General features: G+C 43.4%; 1 protein-coding gene across 5 annotated transcripts in view, besides 2 other annotated features; it reads left to right on the top strand.

Annotated features, from left to right (window-relative positions):
• Window positions 1-24,910, top strand: part of SASH1 (SAM and SH3 domain containing 1) — a 358,577-nt gene that overhangs the window by 109,000 nt on the left and 224,667 nt on the right. The window lies entirely within an intron of this gene.
• Window positions 4,750-5,436: an enhancer, noted in NCBI's record as "OCT4-NANOG-H3K27ac hESC enhancer chr6:148628353-148629039 (GRCh37/hg19 assembly coordinates)". NCBI's record gives its function as "activates a minimal SCP1, AML or CMV promoter by ChIP-STARR-seq in primed H9 embryonic stem cells {active_cell/tissue: H9 hESC(primed)}" and the evidence as "EXISTENCE:reporter gene assay evidence [ECO:0000049][PMID:30033119]".
• Window positions 4,986-5,280: a silencer, noted in NCBI's record as "tiled region #1441; HepG2 Repressive non-DNase unmatched - State 23:Low". NCBI's record gives its function as "represses a minimal TATA promoter and a strong SV40 promoter by Sharpr-MPRA in HepG2 cells {active_cell/tissue: HepG2}" and the evidence as "EXISTENCE:reporter gene assay evidence [ECO:0000049][PMID:27701403]".

Raw genomic sequence — 24,910 nt, forward strand, 5'->3', positions numbered from 1 at the left:
TTGCCATGATACTTGTGTTAAAGAGTTAGAGCTGGAAATTTTAAATCTCTGCTGTTTTTGTTACTTCATGCTGCTTTATTCTCAAACGTATATAAAATATCTCCATGCTGCAGAAATTATGCACACATACACACACACACACACACGCAGAAATCATATATATATAGGGTACATTAGATGTGTGTGTATATATATACACACACACACACACACGGAGAAATATATATATACACACTGTGTATATATATATATAATTTCTGTGTTTATGTATTTCTGTGTGTATGTATTTATATACTGTGTGTGTGTATATATATATGTGTGTGTGTATATATTCGAACTCCTGACCTCAGGAGTATATATATATATATATATATATACACACACACACACAGAGAGAAAGAAAGAGATGATGGCAACTATTCTTCTCCCAGTTCAACAATGGGTAAGGTAAAGGAGATGAGAATGTGTTTGATTCCAGGCACCTCTGTACTTTAAAATTAGTTTGTTTATTTATTTATTTATTTATTTTTGAGACGGAGTTTTGATCTTGTTGCTCAGGCTGGAGTGCAATGGCGCGATCTCAGCTCACTGCAAACTCTGCCTCCCAGATTCAAGCGATTCTCCTGCCTCAGCCTCCTGAATAGCTGGGATTACAGGCACACACCACCATGCCAGGCTAATTTTGTATTTTTAGTAGAAACAGGGTTTCACCATGTTGGTCAGGCTGGTCTCAAACTCCTGACCTCAGGTGATCCACCCACCTCAACCTCCCACAGTGCTGCAATTACAGGTATAAGCCACCATGCCTGGCCTAAAATTGATTTAAAAATAAATCTATGACTCCATCCAACAGAAGCCAAGTACATATTCATCTCAAGCACAAATGGAACGTTCTTCAGGATAGACCATATGCTAAGCTATAAAATAAGACTCAAGATAAAGGAATCAAAATCATAGAGTATGCTTTCTGACTATAATGGAATTAAATTAGAAATCAATAACAGAAGGAAATTTGAGAAATTCACAAATATGTAAAAATTACTCCTAGGCTGGGCGCAGTGGCTCACGCCTGTAATCCCAGCACTTTTGGAGGCTGAGGCAGGCAGATCACTTGAGGTCAGGAGTTCGAGACCAGCCTGGCTAACATGGTGAAACCCCGTCTCTACTAAAAATACAGAACTTAGCTGGGTGGTGGCGGGCACCCATAATCCCAACTACTCAGGAGGCTGAGGCAGGAGAATCGCTAGAACTCGGGAGGTGGAGGTTCCAGTGAGCCAAGATTGTGCCACAGCACTCCAGCGACTCTGTCTCAACAAAATAAATAAATAAATAAATAAATAAATAAATAAATAAATAAATAAAATAAAAATACTCCTAAATAGTCAGTGGATCAGAGAAGAAATAACAAGGAATATTAGAAAATGCTTTAAGATGGAAAAATGCAATATACCAAAACTTATAAGATGCAGCTAAAACAATGCTCAGAAGGCAATGTATGGCTCTAAATGCCTATATTTAAAAGGAAGAAAGATCTCAAATTAATAACCAAATCGGGGGCCGGGTGCGATGGCTCACGCCTGTAATCCCAACACTTTGAGAGGCCGAGGTGGGTGGATCACGAGGTCAGGAGTTCAAGACCAGCCTGGCCAAGATGGTGAAACCCTGTCTCTGCTAAAAATACAAAAAAATGGCTGGGCGCAGTGGCTCACGCCTGTAATCCCAGCACTTTGGGAGGCCGAGGCGGGCGGATCACGAGGTCAGAAGATCAAGACCATCCTGAGTGACATGGTGAAACCCTGTCTCTACTAAAAAAATACAAAAAATTAGCGTGGTGGTGGGCACCTGTAGTCCCAGCTACTCAGGAGGCTGAGGCAGGAGAATGGTGTGAACCCGGGAGGCAGAGCTTGCAGTGAGCCAAGATCGCGCCACTGCACTCCAGCCTGGGCGACAGAGTGACTCCGTCTCAAAAAAAAAAAAAGAAAAGAAAAAAAAAATTAGCCGGGCATGGTGGTGGGCGCCTATAATCCTAGCTACTAGGGAGGGTGAGGTAGAGACTTGCTCGAACCGGGGAGGCAGAGGTTGCAGTGAGCCGAGACCACGCCACTGCACTCCAGCATGGGCGACAGAGTGAGACTCCATCTCAAATAAAATAAAAATTAAAATTAAAAATAACCAAATCTTCCACCTTAAAAAAAGAGAAGAAAAAGAACTTTTTAAAGACCTAGCATTAAAATTTTACAACTTCTAGAAAAGCTTATTAAAATAACTTCTACATTCTGGCCAGGTGCCATGGCTCACGCCTGTAATCCCAACACTTTGGGAGGCCGAGGCAGGCGGATCACTTGAGGTCAGGAGTTCGAGATCAGCCTGGCCGACATGGTAAAATCCCGTCTCTATTAAAAATACAAAAATTAGCTGGACGTGGTGATGGCGGGTGCCTGTAATCCCAGCCACTTGGGAGACTGAGGCACCAGAATCGCGTGAACCCAGGAGGTGGAGGTTGCAGTGAGCCAAGATTGTGCCACTGCACTCTAGCCTGGGCGATAGAGCGAGACTCAGTCTCAAATAAATCAATAAATAAATAACTTCTACAGTCTATACTACTCAGTTCCTGAATACACATTTCTTTAGAATGTATTCAGCAGTTTATCCCCTATTTATACACTTTTGGTCATTGTTCCAGAGTTTCTTTCTCATTAACATTCCTGGGCTGAGGCTCATTTCCTCAAGTTCTTTGCGTCTTTTGTCTACTGCTGCATGGGTTCCTGAGGAGAGTTAAAGGTTCTATTTGTTCCTGAGTTTACAATCAGAAGCTCACCAAAGCTCTTGCTCTGTGGAAACCTTGAAACTGATCTCTTGACAAGGCGCAGTGGCTCACGCCTGTAATCCCAGCACTTCGGGAAACCGAGGCGGGGGGATCATGAGGTCAGGAGTTCGAGATCACCCTGGCCAAGAGACCAGCCTGGTCAATACGGTGAAACCCCATCTCTACTAAAAATACAAAAATTAGCTGGATGTGGTGGCGGGCACCTATAATCCCAGCTACTCGAGAGGCTGAGGCAGGAGAATTGCTTGAACCCAGGAAACAGAGATTACAGTGAGCCAAAGATCGTGCCATTGCACTCCAGCCTGGGCGACAGAGCGAGACTCTGACTCAAAAAAAAAAAAAAAAAAAAAGAAAGAAAGAAAGAAAAGAAAATGATCTCTCTTTCAGTCAGGATTCAGCATTTAAACAACTGGCAGACCCAGTGAGTTTGACAAGAGTCAAATAAGGGGACTATTTAACAGAGCTGTGGGCAGGATTAAAGAACAACCAAAGATAGTGACGCACCAGAAACTAGCAACATCAGAAAGCCTTTCCTATGCTTAAGTCTGAAGGAGAAATTCGAGGAAACGGTTGTTAAATCAGGTACCAGAACGTTTATGTTTTAGAATAACTCAGGGAGTACAATGGGAATGTCCATGGCACAAAGAAATGATGAGTGCTTGAGGTGATGAGCCCCATTTATCCTGGTGTGATTATTATATGCTTGTATCAAAATATCTCATGTGCCCCATAAATATATACACCTACTATGTATCCATAAAAATTCAAAATTAAAACAATTTTAAAAAAAGAAAACAGAACCCTGGAAGAAGGAGTTACCTCTACTGATCCCTGGCCTTAGAGGGATGTAGCAACTGCTAAAACTTTGGCAGGTGGGGGGCACAGGTAAGAATAGACATAAATACCCTACCTACTTCTTTCTCTTTCCACTCGCTTGTTCTCTCTGCCATTGACCCAACCCAAAAGAAGCCAGAGAACCAGGAAGTCAGGATGCCATCTATAGATGTCCGCCTCTAAAGGGACAGATGGCAGAGATAGATCTGAGGGGAAGATGGAAATTAACCAGCACAAGTCTTCCAGCCAGGGCCACAGGCCTCTGAGCCCCAAGGTTCCAGGCCTCAGCTGGGTCCCAGGGAAACTCTTGTTGATTGGCAAGACTCTTCACCCACTGCCACTTCCTCTATTGCTGAGGTTGCTTTCTGCTTCCAATATTTTGTGTTCTCAAAGCAGCTGCTACTTCAACCCACACTAAGTTTCTCCAGGGAGTCTTCAATCTTGCTGTGGTAGGGGAGGCATCCATCCACACTCCTACTTACAGCCCCTCTTTTGTTTTATTGAAGCAGTCTTTCCCTCCTATTCGCACAGTCTCCTCTCCCTAGAAACACACACAAGATTCTCCCGAGCTGAGACAGGGTCAGGTTTTCTTCTTCATTCCTCCTTTCCCCCTGAGAAAGAGGCTGTAGAACACATCACCCAACAGCCCATGCAGAACCCCTGTGTCTCAGAAACCAGCTGCACTCAAGAATTGGGAGAGCTTCATCCTGGCCACAGGAATGGGAATGTACCTCTAGGAACTCACTCTGTGCAATGTGCTCAAGCAGAGGTGGGTCAGATGACCAGGCCTTGGTATTTGTAAACATATAGGGTGACAGTTCCTCTTAGTCATCCTTGAGTGACCCAGAGAACTGGCTGCTTGTCACATCCTCAGCACAACCTACCTTTCTCTTTCTTTTCTTTCTTTCTTTCTTTCTTTCTTTCTTTCTTTCTTTCTTTCTTTCTTTCTTTCTTTCTTTCTTTCTTTCTCTCTCTCTGTCTCTTTCTTTCTTTTCTTTCTTATTTTTTGAGACAGAGTCTCGCTCTGTCATCCAGGCTGGAGTGCAGTGGCTCAATCTTGGCTCACTGCAACCTCCGCCTCCCAGGTTCAAGCGATTCTCCTGCCTCAGCCTCCTGAGTAGCTGGGATTACAGGTGTGTGCCACCATGCCTGGCTAATTTTGTATTTTTAGTGGAGACAGGGTTTCGCCATGTTGGTCAGGCTGGTCTCAAACCCCTGACCTCGTGATCTGCCTGCCTCGGCCTCCCAAAGTGCTGGAATTACAGACATGAGCCACCGCACCTGGCCAGCACAACCTTTATAGGCAACTGGAGAGGAAGCTGGGAGCCCTACCCTAAAAGAGCTTACAGTATAATGAGGTGCCAAGCCCATTAAATAATAGCATCCTCCTGGAACAAGATATTTATGAAACAGGTTCCGTGGCTGCCCCAAGGCTCCAAGCATCTGATTGTATTTATTGTTATTCCACCCCTTGCTGATCCCAGGCTTCAAAGGTTGATGTATGACTGATCCTAAGAATCCAGCCCTACCAGAATGACCTGTCATCTCCCTTCTGCTGCTTGTTGAATTAGGCAGCTGCTTGTTGAATTAGGTTATTAAAATGTCTGCTCAGCCTCTTAGTCAACTTAACTTGGCTTTATTTTGGTGGAAAGCAAATCACTTAGTAGAATTTTGCTTAATTGGTCACTTGGCTCAGGGTTTGATGACTTTTCCAGTAATATTTGCACGACAAATATATTTTATTTAATTCTTTTCTGAAATAATTCAGCTGACTCTGAATGGTCAAGATGTGCAAAGCACTGAAGAGGCGCCATGATCCTAGCAGGAGATCTATGGTAATATGAGGGCAGAAAACACGGAAGAGAGACAGCCTGAACACTCACAGGTTTACCATAGAGATAAGCAAGAAGTATAACCAGCCACTGTGTCCTCACTATCTTTTTGATCTCTTTCTTGGGTATCTCTGGATCCATCTTTTTCTCTGGATTTCTAACCTCCATGTCCCTCTTTCACTTCTTCTGTGGTGTCTCACATGTGTTTGTGTACGTGTGTGTATGCATGCACACATCCAAGTGTATATATGTATCGCACCTTGGGCAAAATTTAATAATGGTGTTTTGCCACAGTTAAAAAGATATTAAATCCGCCCCCCCCAAAAATGTATAATAATGGGTAACAATACGGCATTTTAAAGAACTTGCTCTGTAATGGGTCCCAGGCAAAGAACTCTTCAGGTATCATATCAGTTGTTCATCAAAAACTTAGGAGCTTTTTTTTTTTTTTTGAGATGGAGTTTCACTCTGGTTGCCCAGGCTGGAGTGCAATGGCGCTGCCTTGGCTCACTGTAACCTCCGCTTCCCAGGTTCAAGCAATTCTCCTGCCTCAGCCTCCCAAGTAGCTGGGATTACAGGCATGCGCCACCATGCCTGGCTAATTTTTGTATTTTTAGTAGAGATAGGGTTTCACCACGTTGGTGAGGCTGGTCTCGAACTCCTGACGTCAGGTGATCCACCCACCTCGGCCTCCCAAAGTGCTGGGATTACAGGTGTGAGCCACCGCACCTGGCAACTTAGGAGCTTTTTAAAGTATTTTCTGCTTTACTGTCTTGTGATGTAGTTTCTCATGTCTAGAAAATAGAATTGTTCCTTGTCAGTCCATAAGATTCTCTTTCTCTGCCAGACGCAGTGGCTCATGCCTGTAATCCCAGCACTTTGGGAGGCCGAGGTGGGTGAATCACCTGAGGTCAGGAGTTCGAGACCAGCCTGACCAACGTGGCAAAACCCCATCTCTACTAAGAATACAAAAATTAGCCAGGGGTGGTGGCACACGCCTGTAGTCCCAGCTACTCAGGAGGCTGAGGCAGGAGACTCGCTTGAACTCCGGAGGTGGAGGTTGCAGTGAGCCAAGATTTCACCATTGCACTCCAATTTGGGTGACAGAGCAAGACTCTGTCTCCAAAAAAAAAAAAAAAAAAAGATTCTCTTTCTCTAAATGGTCCCATCAGGAATGGCTTGGTGCTTGTAGTTATGCTGCCTGGGGGGAAAAAAGAGTACAGAATATTCGGTGAGAACTGAAGGTTATTATAATCCAGAAAGAGTGATGGAGTATAAAGACAACGTCTTTTCAAATAGACTTTGCAAGACTTTCTGCCTTTTCAGTGGTAAAGGCTAAGCAGTGGTTTGCTGGCTTTGCCCTCTGTGGGTTACAGAAAGGCCTTTGCTTATAAATCCATGGAGCTGAAGGTCACATGAAGGGCTTGCCTGCACTAGCTTATTTACTCTAGGATCAGAATCAAGACCTCAGTTAATCTCAGTTACACTAGTGTGGCATATTTCCCACCTCCACCCATATCCACCCACTAGTTCTGGCCCCAGATTGTCTCTGAGCTGGCCCTGCCCACTGGTCAGAACAGATTGGCAAATGATCATTCCTTAGGACAGCCCTGGCTTGTACAACAGGCAGGAATGAGGTCAGAAGAAAGGCTATTGTCCCCATATCCTTGGTAGATGGAGGCTTATGTTACCTTCTCATGTTGCTTTAAAAAAAAAAAAAAAAAGCTAGTTCCTCTCTCCTTGTATTAAAAGACTTAGGGTATGAAGGTCAATTGTAAACATTTGACAGGTGACCTTTGCCAGCATGTTGGGTGGGTCAGAGCTCTAAACACATACACACCATGTACAAGGGTATCATTCATTTCTTGGGCAAAGGAGAACAAAAACTGGCGAGTTTTGAGTAATTAATATCCCATCTTCCATTTAAATGTCAACCTAGGAGTATTCAGTGAGGACATATGATGTTCAAGGCACCATGTGGGGGAATGTAGGGAAGTCTGGCAGAGTTTAGAATCCAGTAGAAAATTAAAAATATAAACAAGCATAGTACAGGAAGTACATGGTAAAACTTAGCCTCTAGGCTGGGCCTGGTGGCTCAGGCCTGTAATCCCAGCGCTTTGGGAAGCCGAGGAGGGTGGATCACCGGAGATCAGGAGTTTGAGACCAGCCTGGCTAACGTGGTGAAACCCCGTTTCTACTAAAAATACAAAAATTAGCCAGGTGTGGTGGTGCGTGCCTGTAGTCCCAGCTACTTGGGAGGCTGAGGTAGGAGAATCTCTTGAACCCAGGAGACGGAGGTTGCAGTAAGCCAAGATTGCGACACTGCACTCCAGCTGGGCGACAAGAGTGAAACGTTGTCTCAAAACAAAACAAACTTAGCCTCTAGAATCAAAAAAGCCTCAGTGCAAATCTCTGCTGTATCTATTTAACAACTGGTGCTGGAACAATAGGACATCCATATGTGAAAAAAAAAAAAAAAAATAGATTGTAGACCTCAATGTAAAATCACTGTGACTGTGGTAAATAAGATTTTGTCACTAAAACAAGATATGATTCATAAAAGAAAACATGGATAAATTGAACTTAGTCAAAATTTAAAATTCTCCTTGAAAGATGCTATAAAATGAGAAGGCAACCACACACTGAGAGAAAATATTTGCAAAGTATGTATTTGATAAAGGACTTGTATCCAGAATATATATTCAGTTATCTCAAAACTCAATAACAAGAAAATAGCATGATTTTTAAAACGGGCAAAAGATTTAACAGAACACATGAAAAGATACTCAACATAATTAGTCATCAGGAAAATGCAAATTTAAAAACAACAAAATAACTATTAGAATGACTTTTAAAAAAAAAGGCTGGTAATGGCAAGTGCTGGCAAGGATGTGGAGCAAAGGAAACTCTCAAGCATTGCCTATTGGAATAGAAAATGGTGTAGAAAGTCAGTCTGACAGGGTTTTGTTTGTTTGTTTTGCTTTGTTTTGTTTTGTTTTTTTGAGCTAGGGTCTCATTATGTTGCCCAGGCTGGTCTCAAACTCCTGGGCTCAAGTGATCCTCCGGCCTCAGCCTCCTGAATAGCTGGGATTATGGGCAAGCACCACCACACCTAAGCTTCTTTTTTTCTTTTCTTTTTTTTTTTCTTTCTTTTTTTTCCCCCCAAGACGGAGTGTCACTCTGTCGCCCGGGCTGGAGAGCAGTGGCATGGTCTCGGCTCACTGCAACATCTGCCTCCCAGGTTCAAGCGATTCTGCTGCCTCAGCCTCCCAAGTAGCTGGGATTACAGGCGCCTGCCACTATGCCCAGCTAATTTTTTTATTTTTAGTAGAGACAGGGTTTCACCATGTTGGCCAGGCTCATCTCAAACTCCTGACCTTGTGATTCACCTGCCTTGGCCTCCCAAAGTGCTGGGATTACAGGCATGAGCCACTGTGCCTGCCACCACACCTAAATTTCTAATAAAATTAAATATACATGCGAACTTTCCCTATAACCCACCAATCCCACTTCTAGGTATGAAAAAGTGAAATGAAAACCTATTTTCAAATAAAACCTGTCAGCCAGATGTGGTGGCTAACGCCTGTAATCCCAACACTTTGGGAGGCTGAGGCAGGAGGATTGCTGGAGCCCAGGAGTTTGAGACCAGCCTGGTCAACATGGTGAAACCCCATCTCTACTGAAAATAGAAAAATGAGCTGAATGTGGTAGCATGCACCTGTAGTTGCAGCTACTCGGGAGGCTGAGGTAGGAGGATCCCCTGAACCTGGGACAGGGAGGTTGCAGTGAGCCAAAATGGCACCATACCACTGCACTCCAGCCTGGGCGACAGGGCAAGACCTTGTCTCAGAAAAACAAAAAAATAAAATAAAACCTTTCCTTGAATGTTTATCATGGCTTTGTTCATAATCAAGAAAAACTAACCAATTTTCAAACCTGCTTCAACTGGTAAACAGGTAAACTCTGGTACATCCCCACAGTGGAATACGGCTCAGCAATAAAAAGCAAGAAACTTCTGTTACACTGAGTCACCTGGATGCATCTCAAATGCTTCTTGCTAAGTGAAAGGATCCAGACTCAAAAAGCTGCATACTGTATGATTCCATGTGTATGACATTTTGGAAAAAGTCCAACAGTAAGGATAGAAATCAGATCAGTGTTTTCTGGAGTTTGGTGGTCGGGGGACGAGTTGACTGTTAAATAGCATGAGGGCAGTCTGTTGGGTGATGGAACTGTTCTATATCTTGACTGTCATGCTGGTTACATGACTGTAATACTCACAGTGTTGTGCAATGAAAAGCATGATTTTTAGTGTGTAAATTATACCTCCATAAGCCTGATCAGGAAGAAAAAAGAAGCAATACTCTAGATAGTACTTAGTCATCAAAAACCATGAAGGTGGTCAGGCGTGGTGGCTCATGCCTGTAATCTCAGTGCTTTGGAAGGCTGAGGTGGGAGGATTGCTTGAGCCTAGGAGTTTGAGGCTGCACTGAGCTATAAATCATGTCACTGTACTCCAGCCTGGGTGACAGAGTGAGATCCTGCTATTAATAACAACAACAACAACCAAAAAGCATGAAGGCAATATTTTGAAAATTGTGCTCTGGCACTTAAAGCTGAGTGAATGACCATAGACAAGCTTCTTAACCTTTAGAAATACCCATTTCCTCATCTCTAAAGTGAAAACAGAATTAGTAGAAGCACTGAATAAAAATATGCTCTGAGAATTAAACTACCTAATGCATAAAGTAAAATTTGCTAAAGTTTATTGACCATTTACTCTACGCTAGGTTTTAGATGTGCCTTTATATTCATTATATAAGTTAATTCCAGCCTTAGGAGATAGGTTCTATTGTCCTATAGGGATAAGAAGAGGAGGAGAAGGAGGAGAAGGAGGAGGAGAAGGAGGCTGTGGCTGTTGCTAGATGAGAAGAGACAGTCAAGAAAAGCTTCCTGGGGAGGTGGCATCAGATTGTGTCTTAAAGGACAGGTAGAAGTGTCAACAGAGATTCAGTGGGATGTGCAAGGATTGAGGAGGGAGATTCACTAAATGACACCAGCAAGACAAAACAACACCCCTTCCCAACAAAAAAGAAGTCTTAGGAGTTAGTGGCAGAGAGAGGAGAGACCAACTGAGCCAAACCTCAAACTTGGGCACAGATATTGTAGAAGTGGGGAACTACATTAGCAGAGACTAGGAGGGAAGCTTACAGAAGCTGACATGATGTCCTGATTTGGACATACTATTCCTAATGTCCAGATCTTTGGAAAAGAGCTTTCATAATCTCCTGTATACCCATTCTGGTGTCTTAGTATTCACCCGGAGAAAATTCATTAAGTGCAAATCCTCTTGGCTGCACTTTTCCTTCATGTTTATTTGTGAATGCAAGTGGGGGATGGCTCAAGAGTAGCTTCAAGCTATTACTTTCCCTACTAATTGGGGTACATCACATATTTTTCCATGTCCTGTGATTCCTGGGGCATGGTATTTAAATGTTCTTCTGGGTAGAAAATACTGCTGCAAAACTATTCAAAAAGATTTCTGGCAAAGAAGGGTAGGAGAGGGTGGTGGGAGAGGGAGGACATTGAATCAAATGGTTCTTTGTTTCTATAAATACACAAACCTATGTCGAGACTTTTTACCCTTCCACTGCCCCCACTACCCCTCAACAGGTGGCACGAGCTCGATGACATTTGTAGAGCAGATGGCATGTCATTTTAATGCTGTTTCTAATTGACAGGGGCCTCGGTGGCTGTGGCACGTGCGGCTGCATGCCGGGTGTAGGGTGGGGAATGGAATTAGATACTGCTACCTGCTCCTTCTGGCGGAGAAGTGGGAGCTGTAATTGTGTCAACTGGCTTGAACACATTGCATTAATTCCTCATCAGAGGACTTATTTTGCTGGTTTTATTTCCCTTAACTTGCTAATCCTTCCCTCCCCCTTGCATAGCTCTGATTTTTGGTCAACTTCAACAAGGAAACCTTGTTCCTCTGAAAATCACCTTTAGCATAAGCTCAGTGTTTTCCTGTCCAGATTTTCATAAGCAAGTCAGGTTGCATTCAATTTACACCAGAAACAAGCTTTTGCGTCTCAGACATGGTCTAGAGAGAAAACAAAAAGGAGTGGGATGTAGCCCAAGCGACACTGGGAGCCTTACCAGGTATTCTAATCAGAGGATAAACAACATGGAGTTAGAAGTCCTGTCCCGGAGCAGCCATTATTTTTGTAATTCTCACTTTAAAAGCCATATGGTGAGTGGATGCAGCCCCACTTCCTGTGGTGAACTCATGCAACTCCAAGGCCACAGCTACACACTTCCCCACTCAGTATCCACAAGGAGCTCATTCTAATTCTAATCAGAATACTTTTGTTTATACAAAACAAAAAGTACTTGATCAATTGAGAAATGGCCCTTTAAACTGTATCAGGTTCCCTTCAATCATTCAGCTTCTTGAAGAAAACAAATCCCAATTATTAATCATATCCTATTAGATCAGATTTGAAAACAATTTATATGGTAATGAGGAATTTACTGAGCCCGCTGAATGCATTATGTTGTGCCTGAATCTAGGAGTTATTTCTAAGACATTCACGGTCATTTCCCTCTAATCTACAGCATAAGTTTCAGTTTAGGCCCTCAAACAAAAGTTTGGAAATAGGCATTCTTTGTATTTTCTTTCTTGCGTCTCCACCCAACATCATTACTGTCTTTAGTTCAAGAGGAGGGACAAGAACGAGAAGGTGGGTTTAGAATTCCTTTTGCTCCCCTAAGTTTCAAGTCTATTAATGAAAAATGGTATAAATGACTTTTTTTTTTTTTTTTTTGAGACGGAGCCCAGGCTGGAGTGCAGTGCCGCGATCTTGGCTCACTGCAACCTCTGCCTCCTGGGTTCAAGTGATTCTCCTGCCTCAGCCTCCCGAATAGCTGGGATTACAGGCGCCTGCTATCATGCCTGGCTAATTTTTTGTATTTTTAGTAGAGCTGGTGTTTCACCATGTTGGTCAGGCTGGTCTCGAACTCCTGATCTCAGGTGATCCGCCCAACTTGGCCTCCCAAAGTGCTGGGATTACAGGTGTGAGCCACTGTACTCAGCCCCGTATAAATGATTTTTAAAGCAGTTAATGATCTGCAAGCATTTAAGGGATTAAATTAGCTACTATTTATTACTGTTATTAAATAGAATTTAAATGAAAAATTGAATAACAACCATGATCATATATTGACTGTGACTGCTCCCTTTATGCCAGATAGAGATTATAGTAAGCACTTTTCCACATAATAATTTTTAAAGTAGCTAATATGTTTTTATTGATCATTTGCTATGTGGCACTCATGGTGTTTAGTTCTTTGCAAACTAACTTTTTTATTTGTCTTATCAACACTATGTCAGAGACTCTGTTATTGACCCCATTTAATAACTAAGAAAGTGAACCTTAGAGAGTAACTTGCTGGGAGTTGAAGTTTGTCTGAAGCCAAAGCCAATCTGTTCAACCACTACCTTAGATTCCTTGATGAATCTTTAAAAGACCGTACTTTTTTATGATGCAGGTAACCCCGCTAGTTGATCAGTTTTATATAAATTCAAACTTTCTTAAATTTAAGAGATTTCCTCGCTTTAGTTATGGGAGCTTTCTTACCCTGTCAAAATCTCAAAACTAGGCCAGGCACAGTGGCTCCTGCCTGTAATCTCAGTACTTTGGGAGGCCCAGGCGAGAGGATTGCTTGAGCCCAGGAATTCGAGACCTGCCTGGGCAACATAGTGAGACCCCATCTCTACAGAAAAATTAAAAATTAGCTGGGTGTGGTGGTGCACGCTTGTAGTCCCAGCTGTTCAGGAGGCTGAGATAGAAGGATCACTTGAGCCTGGGAGGTCGAGGTTTCAGTGAGCCATGATTTTGCCACTACACTCCAGCCTGAGCCATAGATCAAGACCCTGTGTCAAGGAAAAAATAAAAGCCTCGAAACTAAGACCAGCCTGCCACACCCATGGGCATTTCAACCTTCCTAAATCCCTGTGCTATGACCAATAGATTGTTCCCCTCACAGCCTTGAGATACAGTCCTCCTTTTGTTCATTGATTTCCTGGAGCACCAATGTTTTGAAAATAGAATCAAAACATAGTCCAAACATTACTTCTGCCTAGCTTGATGTAAAACCTTTATTATTTTTCCAAATGATTTACTGAGAATATAATATTACTGGAGTCAGAGTGCAATGTTTACAATTTCTTGTCAAGTTTTACCCTTATCTAGGTGTTCCCAGTTGGCAGCAGCTTCCACGTTCTTCCCTCTGTTTCTGCTGTTTTCAATGAGAGAGGCTGAGAGGGAACCCACCAGAGTCCCAAGCATAGGCAGCGTGGGGCAGACTGGCCTCTTTATTTGTAATGCACTGAATATGAAGGGAGCCACTCTGAAGCTGTTTTCTGTGTAGACAGGATATGATGATAATAGCACAAATAAAAGTTCATGTATTCCAGCCAGGGACAAATTAAGTGGGTACAGAGCATAGATATATGTCACACTGTTATTGACTTCGAACAGCACACGGCCCGCTTCAGGGCATCATGCCCAGATTAATTGGCTTGCCCAGAATGCATCTATGATTAGAAGAAAGCTCTCAGGAAATGCTGGGCAGCGCATTATCTGGAGTCTCCATTTTTCTCCTCCTAGGCACTGAAAGTTAGACATTTTGTTTTATACACCAAGAGAGTAGTGGCATTTGACACCATTGGTTTATGAAATGTTTTGCTGTTTTTTCTTCATAGATTATAAATGTTTTTCAGAGCAATCAGTCACCATATGTTGAGATGATACAGGTAGTATTTATGATTGCTATACAGAGGTGCCTCAGCTCTGGTATGTCAGGGGTTATAGAATTATGAGAAAAGGTGTGTATCTTGGGTGCAAATGTGCATGAAAGATCAAAATGAAGCTCTTTGTCATATATGAGCTACTGAAATAGAAGAACCTCTGAGACTGCTGTGCTTAAAACTACTGCCATTTCTGCCTTGAGGAATATAATGGTGATCAGACATGGCACCTGGCTGACTTTGCACTCCATTCTGAGTTAGCTGGAAAGGGAAGGAATCAGGAGAAATAGCCAACAGCACAAAACAACTTCAAAAATAGTGGCTTTCATTGGAAAATCTAGAGATGAATAGCAAAGAAGGTAGACTCTGTATCCAAGAAAAATCAAGGGTGAAATTGCTTATATTACTGACCAAAGGCTAAATACTTCTCTTGGATGAAGACAAGAAATTCCAGTGGTCTCTACTGAACCCTTGCATGCGTAAGCCAGTGATAAAATTTGGTCCAATAAAGAGCTCTTGTTCATCTGTGACACCATGTTTATCATGAAACCTGGAAAACCAGGAAAGTTAAACACTATGGGTGGATCAAAAGAAGTGGTTCCTGAATATTTGTTATTATTTAGGAGGTTTGAGAAAATATTGAGGAAAAAAATTTTTTTTGTTGTTTTTGAGATGGAGTTTCACTCTTGTTGCCAAGGCTGGAGTGCAATGGCACGACCTCGGCTCACCGCAACCTCCGCCTCCTGGGCTCAAGCGATTCTCCTGCCTCAGCCTCCCGAGTAGCTGGGATTACAGGCATGTGCCACCACATCCGGCTAATTTTTTTGTATTTTTAGTAGAGACGGGGTTTCACCATGTTGGCCAGGATGGTCTCAATCTCCTGACCTTGTGATCCGCCTGCCTCGGCCTCCCAAAGTGCTGGGATTACAGTCGTGAGCCACGGCGCCCGGCCAAGGAAAAAAATTTTTAATGGGACTCCCAACATCTTGCTTTTGTTGGATACTGGATCCATTCAGGTTCCATTCATGAAATATTTGCCATAGTGCATTGCTGCCTTTTTGGAAATGCTATAATATCTCAACCTTTAGCAACGCATTCCATTATTTAACAGTGAGGCATTCAGGAACTATCATAAGTTATGTGAAAGGTTGTGTTTTCTGAAACTGTTGAGAAAAGAACCCTTGTCTCTCAGCTTCAGGAACTCAGTCATTTTAATACTAGCAAGTATTTACATAAAGAATCTAAAAGCCCAGGACTTAGACTGAGAATTCATCCCCATGCATCACACAGAGACCTTTTGGTCTAAGGCACTAGTATCGTGGCCCTCAGTTTCTGCCACTGTCATTCATGGAGGCATTCATTCATTCTTTCATTCACCAGACCAATTTTTAGAACACTTCTATGTCTGGCTGGCATTGAATTTGTCTCCATGAATGCTTGAGTCTGGAAACAGACAAACAGCAGGCATGTTTTGCCAGGCAATGAATAGGTAGCATTACAAAATATTTAATATACAGGGCAGTACCTGTATACAGTAAATAATCAGTGTTCTTTATTAACATTATGCTTATCATTAAACAGCATAGTAACAGTATAGAAAAATTTTCAGATAGTTTAGTTCAAAATCATATCATCTGAATGCATCAACAGCTTTCATTTGACATTCATTTATTTGTTTGTTCAAAAAATATTTATTGAGCTCCTTACTGTACTGCAAACATGGCCATAGAACATTGGCAGCTTCTTTTCTCACCTTTTGTGGGCACATATACTACTAATTTCTTTTTTTTTTTTTTTTGAGACGGCGTCTCTTTCTGTCGCCGAGGCTGGAGTGCAATGGCATGATCTTGGCTCACTGCAAGCTCCGCCTCCCGGGTTCAAGCGATTCTCCTGCCTCAGCCTCACGAGTAGCTCGGACTACAGGCGCCGGCCACCACGCTCAGCTAATTTTTATACTTTTAATAGAGACGGGGTTTCACCACGTTGACCAGGATGGTCTCGATCTCTTGACCTTGTGATCCGCCCGCCTCAGCCTCCCAAAGTGCTGGGATTACAGGCGTGAGCCGCCACGCCCAGCTATACTACTAATTTCTTAAAATTTTTCACACAGAGAATATTTTCCCATGCTGTTACATATTTTATACGGTTTTAACAATTTAATCTGTAGATATTATTCCTTCAAGACATCATATCATCATTTATTTGACCATTCTCCTGTTATGGAATATGGAAGAAGCCGCATTTATCTTCTTTTTTTTTTTTTTTTTTTTTTTTTTTTGAGACGGAGTCTGGCTCTGTAGCCCAGGCTGGAGTGCAGTGGCGCGATCTCGGCTCACTGCAAGCTCCGCCTCCCGAGTTCATGCCATTCTCCTGCCTCAGCCTCCCGAGTAGCTGGGACCACAGGCGCCCACCACCACGTCCGGCTAATTCTTTTGTATTTTTTAGTGGAGACGGGGTTTCACCGTGTTTTGCCAGGATGGTCTTGATCTCCTGACCTCATGATCCACCCGCCTCTGCCTCCCAAAGTGCTGGGATTACAGGCGTGAGCCACCGCGCCCAGCCCCATTTATCTTTTTTTACCCCCTTCAATTTGGAGTTAAGGAACCTGGGAGATTGTGAATCACCGTAGTCCTCCCTTATTCATGGTTTCTTTTTCCTCAATTTTAGTTACCCACATTTTAGTCCTAAAATATTAAATGGAAAACTCAATAAATAAATATGTATAAGATTTTTGTTTTTTTGTTTTGTTTTTTGTTTTTTTGAGATGGAGTTTTGCTCTTGTTGCCCAGGCTGGAGTGCAATGGCATGATCTCGGCTCACCACAACCTCCCCTCCCGGGTTCAAGCAATTCCCAGCCTCAGGCTCCCGAGTAGCTGGGATTGCAGGCATGCGCCACCACGCCCAACTAATTTTGTATTTTTGGTAGACACAGGGTTTCTCCATGTTGGTCAGGCTGGTCTCGAATTCCCGATCTCAGGTGATCCGCAAGTCTTGGCCTCCCAAAGTACTGGGATTACAGGCATGAGCCACCGCACCCGGCCCGATGTATAAGTTTTAAATTGCACGCCATTCTGAGGGACATAATGAAATCTTGTGCTGTCCAGCAACATCCCTCCCAGGATGTGACTCCTCCCTCTGTCCATTGTACCCATGTGGTCTACACAGTAGTTGTTTAGTAGCTGACTCAGTTATCAGATTGACTATCACCATACTGCTGTTGAAGTCACCCTTATTTTGCCTCATGATGGCCCCAAAGTACAAGAGCAGTGATGCTGGCATATGGTTATAATTGTTCTATTTTATCGTTAGTTGTTAATGTATTACTGTGCCTAAGTTATAAATTAAACTTTATCATAAGTATGTATGTATGAGAAAAAACATAATATCTATAGGGTTCAGCACCATCCATGGTTTCAGGAATTCACTGGGGGTTGGGGAATCTATCCCCTAAGGATAAAGGGAGAATACTTTACTTCAGATCGCAGAGCCTGTGGAAAGATCTGGACAAGACCCTCTGAAAAGAGCTGATTGGTGCTGCTGCTAGAAAATATCAAGGTACATTATTGGTGTATGGGCCACCCCCCTTGATAGCGGCACCGCTTCTGGCTGGCCTTTGGGCAGGTATGACCTTCACATTAGTGAAGTGTTCCAAATTTTACTCCCTCTCTCCCTAATGTGTGTATTCTGTTACAGCAGGCTTTGGAATCATCTACTCAGCCAAGGGACTGTCCCTGGTACATGGTGCTCTTCAAAATAAAGTGAAGATTACCATCCCAAAGAGGACATTAGGAAGAACCAAAAGACAAAGGGTGGGTTCTTTCAGGTCTTTAAGTCCAACCTCCTTCGCTTACAGCCTACAAGGTGGAAAGTGTTTGACCATCCATCTGCCTTGAGCTTTGGGTTCAGCCATTCTCCCACTTGTATTGGTCTGGAACTCCTGGGCTCAAGAGATTCTCCTCCTCCAGCCTCCCAAAGTGTTGGTATTACAGGCGTGAGCCACCGTACCCAGACTTCACTTGTGTTTTTTAAAACAGAGAGCTTCAAGTCCCTCCAACACTTAATGTCATTTTATGTCTTTGTGCCTTTGCTCCCATTGTTCTCATAGTCTGAGTCCAGTTTAGCCACCACATGGCTGAGTAATTTTGATTCTTCCTTCAGTACTTCTTACTAACTCAGATGAAGCCTCTTACAAGAAGTCTTCCATAATGCCTCAAGGCTGCACTAACCGTCCAGTCTCTTTGTTCATAAAGCACCTTGTGCGTTCCTTTATCACACAGGATTGATAGTATTAGGTTGGTGCAAACATAATCACGGTTTTTACCATTGAAGGTAATGGCAGGCCAGGCGCGGTGGCTCACATCTGTAATCCCATGCCTTGTGAGGCCAAGGCAGGCAGATCACTTGAGGTCAGGAGTTCAAGACCAGCCTGGCCAATGTGGTGAAACACCATCTCTACTAAATACAAAAAATGAGCCTGGCGTGGTGGCGCATGCCTGTAATCCCACCTACTTGGGAAGCTGAGGCACGAGAATCTCTTGAACCCAGAGACAGAGGTTGCAGTGAGCTGAGATTGCACCATTGCACTCCAGCCTGGGTAACAAGAGTGAAACTCTGTCTTAAAAAAAAAAAAAAAAAAGTAATGGCAAATGGATGTATGTGCATGAAAGATCAAAATGAAGCTCTTTGTCCTATGAGCTACTGAAACAGAGGAACCCCTGAGATTGCTGTGCTTAAAAATACTGCCATTTCTGCCTTCAGGAATATAATGGTGATCAAACATGGCACCTGGCTGACTGCACTCTTTGAAAGTAATGGCAAAAACTGTGATTACATTCATACCAGCCTACTTATGTGTCTGTCTCCCTCACTAGACTAAGCTCATCAAAATCAGGATTTACAACTTATTTTCACATTCCCAATGCTTAGCACAAAATAGACACTTAGTAAGTATTTATTGAACTGAAATCCATCGAAGATGGTCTAGGCATAGCATCAGGGAAATGTAATTAGAATGCAGTCCTTACCTCCTTACTTAGAAGGTCTGATCAATTCTGTTGTTATGATTGGGTAAGAAAAATGTGTTAATAGGAAAGGAGGAGTCTATTTGATCTTTAAAAGAGAAAACTCCTACAGTGATAATTTCTTCTATGTGTAAATTTTTAACTTTCATATATAAATGGTATACATATACATTTATTAAAATATATGTATAAATGATGGTGATAATAATATTACCACATTCATCTCCTCTGGAATCTTGGTCTAACAGTAGCATCTCTTAAATCTTCCATCTCTCAGCCGGGCACAGTGGCCCATGCCTGTAATCCTAGCACTTTGGGAGGCCGAGGCAAGCAGATCATTTGAGGTCAGGAGTTCGAGACCAGCCTGGCCAACATGGTGAAACTCCATCTCTACTAAAAATACAACAATTAGCCAGGCATGGTGGCGGGTGCCTGTAATCCCAGCTACTTGGGAGGCTGAGGGCATGAGAATCAGTTGAACCCGGGAAGTGGAGATTGCATTGAGCCGAGACTGCGCCACTGCACTCCAGCCTGGGCAATAGAGCAAGACTCAGTCTCAAATAAAATAAAATAATAAAATAAAATAAAAAGAAACCTTCCATCTGTCCTTCTCTACATAGTTCTTTTCGGCTTAATTTATAAATTTGCTCAACTCTTTCACATTCTTAACCATCTTCTTGGGCTTCTTCACATTTGTTTACCTATTTTTCTCCCAGTCATCCTTCAGTCCGTTGCAATCCAGTTTCTACTCCTTCCCCTGACCCTGAAATTGCAGAGGCTGGGTAGGGTTACCATTGACTCCAAAATGCATGCTCAGCTGACGTTTCTTGCTGCTGTGACTCTTCTCTTGCTTTGGACACTGCGGATCCCTTACTCCTTGCTGTCATTCTCACCTCCCTTGGCATCATGCCATGATAATTCTCCTACTTCTAGAACCAGTCTCTCTCTCTCTCAGACATTGTGTCATTTTTCTTCATTCTTTTGACTCTGATGTTCTCCATCTTTTGCCTTTCACAGTTTTCCATTCTCATTTACACAGAGGGGTTTCATCCGTGACCACCCATCCAAATCATCTTTCTTTCTTTCTTTCTTTTTCTTCTTTCTTTCTCTCTCTTTCTTTCTTTTTTCTTTCTCTCTTTCTTTTCCTTCCTTCCTTCCTCCCTCCCTCCCTCTCTACTTCCCTCCCTCCCTTTCTCTTTCTCTCTCTCTCTCTTTCTTTCTTCTTTCCTTTTCTTTCTTCCTCTTTTTTTTGAGACAGGGTTCTAGCTCCGTCACCCAGGACCTCAGCTCACTGCAACCTCTGCCTCCCGGGTTTAAGTGATTCTCCTGCCCTAGCCTCCCAAGTAGCTGGGATTACAGGCATGTACCACCATGCCCAGCTAATTTTTGTACTTTTAGTAGAGGTGGAGTTTCGCCGCATTGGCCAGGCTGGTCTCGAACTCCTGACCTCAAGTGATCTGCCCGCCTCGGCCTCCCAAAGTGCTGAGATTACAGGCGTGAGCCCCATGCCTGGCCAACGGTGGCTCTTTCAAAAAATAAAAAATAAACATACCTGAGTCCCATCTCCAATGATTCTGACATAGTTCTAGCTAGGGCCTGGACACCTGTACTTTTTTAAAGTGTCACAGTGATTCTAATGTGTACACTCATTTGATAGTCACTGCTCTGTCTTGTCTCCATTGGTGATTTCCTTTATCAAATACATATGAATCTCTACTATGGGCCAGGCTGACGCTGGTCACTGGAGTATTAGCAGTGAGTAAGACTCCATGGCCCCTCCCTTCACAGAGCTTGCAATTAATCATGAGAGATCCAACTCAGTAAGCAATTACAAAGAAGTAGGATAACTGCTGTGATAGGAAAATAGCTGGGTGTTACAGAGATGCAGAGGAGGCTGAGAAAGGCCAGGGAAAGCTTCCTGGATGACATCCATGCACGTTGATACCAATTAAAGGGAGGCACTGCTCAGGCATACATGAGCCACATGTATGGAGGCTACATGTGTGACCCACATGAATAGAAGACTGAGGCTCTCCATTAAAAACAAGCATGGCAGGGCGCAGTGGCTCATGCCTGTAATCCCAGCACTTTGGGAGGCCGAGGCAGGAGGATCACGAGGTCAGGAGATCGAGACTATGCTGGCCAACATGACGAAACTCTGTCTCTACTAAAAATACAAAAATTAGCTGGGCGGAACACGCCTGTAGTCCCAGCTACTCAGGAGGCTGAGGCAGGAGAATCGCTTGAACCCGGGAGGCGGAGGTTGCAGGGAGCCGAGGTCATGCCACTGCACGCCAGCGTGGTGACAGAGCAAGAATCTGTCTCAAAAAAAAAAAAAAAAAACAAGCATAAGTGAGGTATAACTCAAGAATGGCAAATGGGAGGGCAGCAGGCTGGAAGGATCAGGTGATGAAGAACTGAGGAGAAGAGTGGTAGAAAATCATTTAAGGATTCCTTTGTAGTCAGGACACATCTCTGGCCCAAACTGCTCTCCTGAGTTCTAGATTATCCATGAGCTGTGGACATGGTTATTCCAAAAACAGTTAAAATTCCACACAAGTCAAACTGGACTCATTCTTTTCCCTCTCAAACCTGCTCCCACATCTGTGTTCCCTGCCTCAGTGAGTAGCACTGTCCCCTGCCTGGTTGCACAAGCCAGAAACCTGACATTAGCCTTGATTCCTTCCCTTTCTCCAACTCTGCCATCCAATGAATCACCCAGTCCTTCCAATTCAGCTTGGGAATGTTCTCAGATTCTTCTTCTCCACTCCAGCCTTATAGCCATTGCTCTTGCTGTCTTCCTCCAAGTTCTCAGCTGCAGAAAAAAGTAGATTCTTTAGTGTTTTCTTTTTAAGGTATTTATTAAGATACATAGATGGCTTGAATTTTTGGGAAGAATAAAGAAATAGACTCTGGGCTGAGCTTTCAGGAATAATGCAATTTTATAGGATGACTAACAGTCCTAGTTAGCCTGAGTATGAGGGCTTTTCAGAATGCAGGATTTCCAGTGCTAAAACTGTGGTAGTTCTGGTCAAACTAGGACGGCTGGGCACCCTAAGTCTGCTAACTCACCCGGAACTGGGCCACCGATGCCTCTGCTGCCATCAGGCAGCCTCCAAATCAGGAAGCCAGTGCTGTGGGATGATGGTGCTTCTGCTTCCATCTGTGCCAGCCACGTGTGCACTGAGCTACTCCCCAGTTACCAATAAAAGCCTTAGGCAATTGTGTTAACTTGGTAGAACCTCAATTCCATCCTTGACCTCTGTATTAGTCCATTCTCACTCTGCTATAAAGAACTACCCTAGACTGGGTAATTTATAAAGAAAAGAGGTTTAACTGGCTCACAGTTCTGCATGGCTGGGGAGGCTCAGAAAACTTACAATCATTGCGGAAAGGGAAGGAAACACGTCGTTGTTCACATGATACCAGGAATGAGAAGTGCAGAGTGAAATAGGGGAAAAGCCTCTTTTGTTGTTGTTGTTGTTGTTGTTGTTGTTTTTGAGACAGAGTCTTACTCTGTTGCCCAGGCTGGAGTGCAAGTGTCGCGATTTTGGCTCACTGCAACCTCTGCCTCCCGGGTTCAAGTGATTCTCCTGCCTCAGCCTCCCAAGTAACTGGGTTTACAGGTGCATGCCACCACGCCCAGCTAATTTTTAAAATATTTTTAGCAGGATTTCACCAAGCTGGTCAGGCTGCTCTTGAACTCCTGACCTCAGGTGATCCACCCGCCTCAGCCTCCCAAAGTGCTGAGATTACAGGCATGACCCACTGTGCCTGGCTAGAAAAGCCTCTTATAAAACCATCAGATCTTACGAGAACTCACCATCACGAGAATAGCACGGAGGTAACCACCCCCATGATTCAATTATCTCCCACTGGGTCCCTCACACGACACGTGGGGATTATGGCAACTACAATTCAAGATGAGATTTGGGTGGAGACACAGTCAAACCATATCACCCTCAGTTGCAAGGAAACCCTGAAAAATGTACTTTTTAGCCCCTACATGCTAGACAGGAGTCAGAATGGATGTTAGGTGAGCCAATCCACAGTATTTGCCCCGATGCCATGGTAACCTCTTGCCTGGATTAGTAGCATGACTCTTGCAAATTGTCTTGTCTCAAATTTCATCTTCTTCTAGGTTAGGTTCCTTATGGCCATTAATTTTTAAATGAACCTACATGAGGCAGGTTAGCATTTCCCCATTTATAATCCTCAGTGATTCCACATTGCTCTTGAACTTTTTTTTTTTTTGAGACAGTCTCACTCTGTCACCCAGGCTGGAGTGTAATGGCACGATCTCCACTCACTGCAATCTCCACCTCCTGGGTTCAAGCAATTCTCCTGCCTCAGCCTCCCAAGTAGCTGGGATTACAGGTGTCCACCATCATGCCTGGCTAATTTTTGTATTTTTAGTAGAGATGGGGTTTCACCATGCCGACAAGGCTGGTCTCGAACTCCTGACCCCAGGTGATCCACTTGCCTCAGCCTCCCAAAGTGCTGGGATTACAGGAGTGAGCCACCGCATGCATATATATATATATATATATATATATATATATATGCATATATATATATATACATTCTTTTCTTTTCTTTTCTTTTCTTTTCTTTTCTTTTCTTTTTTTTGAGACAGGGTCTCACTCTGTTGCCCAGGCTAGAGTGCAATGGCGTGATCTCGGCTCACTGCAACCACTGCCTCCCGGGTTCAAGCAATTCTCGTGCCTTGGTCTTCTGAGTAGCTGGGATTACAGCCACGCGCCACCGTGGCCAGCTAATTGTATTTTTAATAGAGACGGGGTTTCACCATGTTGGCCAGGCTGGTCTTGAACTCCTGACCTCAGGTGATCCGCCTGCGTCGGCCTTCCAAAGTGCTGGGATTACAGGCATGAGCCACCTCGCCTGGCCGCCATATTGCTCTTATCACAGTAACTGTTAAAACATAATGAGATTTTATCATTCACTCGGATTACTACTCAGCTTTCCTTGCTTGAAGGATAAAAGAGGGTGAAGTTAGAGCAATGCATGCCACTAAATGAGGCATACATAATAAAATCCGCCCTCCGAGCTTGGCATATGGGGCCATACTCATTACTGCTTCCTACCTCCACCGTCACATCCTGCCCTCCACACTAGGACTTTACAATCTTTAACATCTCCAGACTTTTCCTTTTGCCTTGAAAATCTTTCCTTTTACTTCCCCTACTGGCTGGTGAATCTTGTGCTCCTCAATCCCTTTGTAAGGGGTTCAACCCCTTCATGAACAATTCTTGCTCCTCACCAATATTGGCCATTCTCTCCTCTGAGCACCTCTTTATGGGGTATGTATGCCTATTATTTACTTTTCTATCTCCTTTACTAGACTAAGTGATCCTGAACTCCAGACCTGGCACATGTGAGACATAATTGGTCCTCAATCAGTATTTGTTACATGGAGGAACGAACGGACGAATGAATGAATGAATGAATGAATGACACATACAATATAAATTTCTTTTTTTTTTTTTTTGAGATGGAGTCTCGCTCTGTCGCCCAGGCTAGAGTGCAGTAGCACGATCTCGGCTCACTGCAACCTCCGCCTCCG

The sequence above is a fragment of the Homo sapiens genome, chromosome 6, assembly GCF_000001405.40.
Source record: "Homo sapiens chromosome 6, GRCh38.p14 Primary Assembly".
In the NCBI taxonomy this organism is placed as follows: Eukaryota; Metazoa; Chordata; class Mammalia; order Primates; family Hominidae; genus Homo; species Homo sapiens.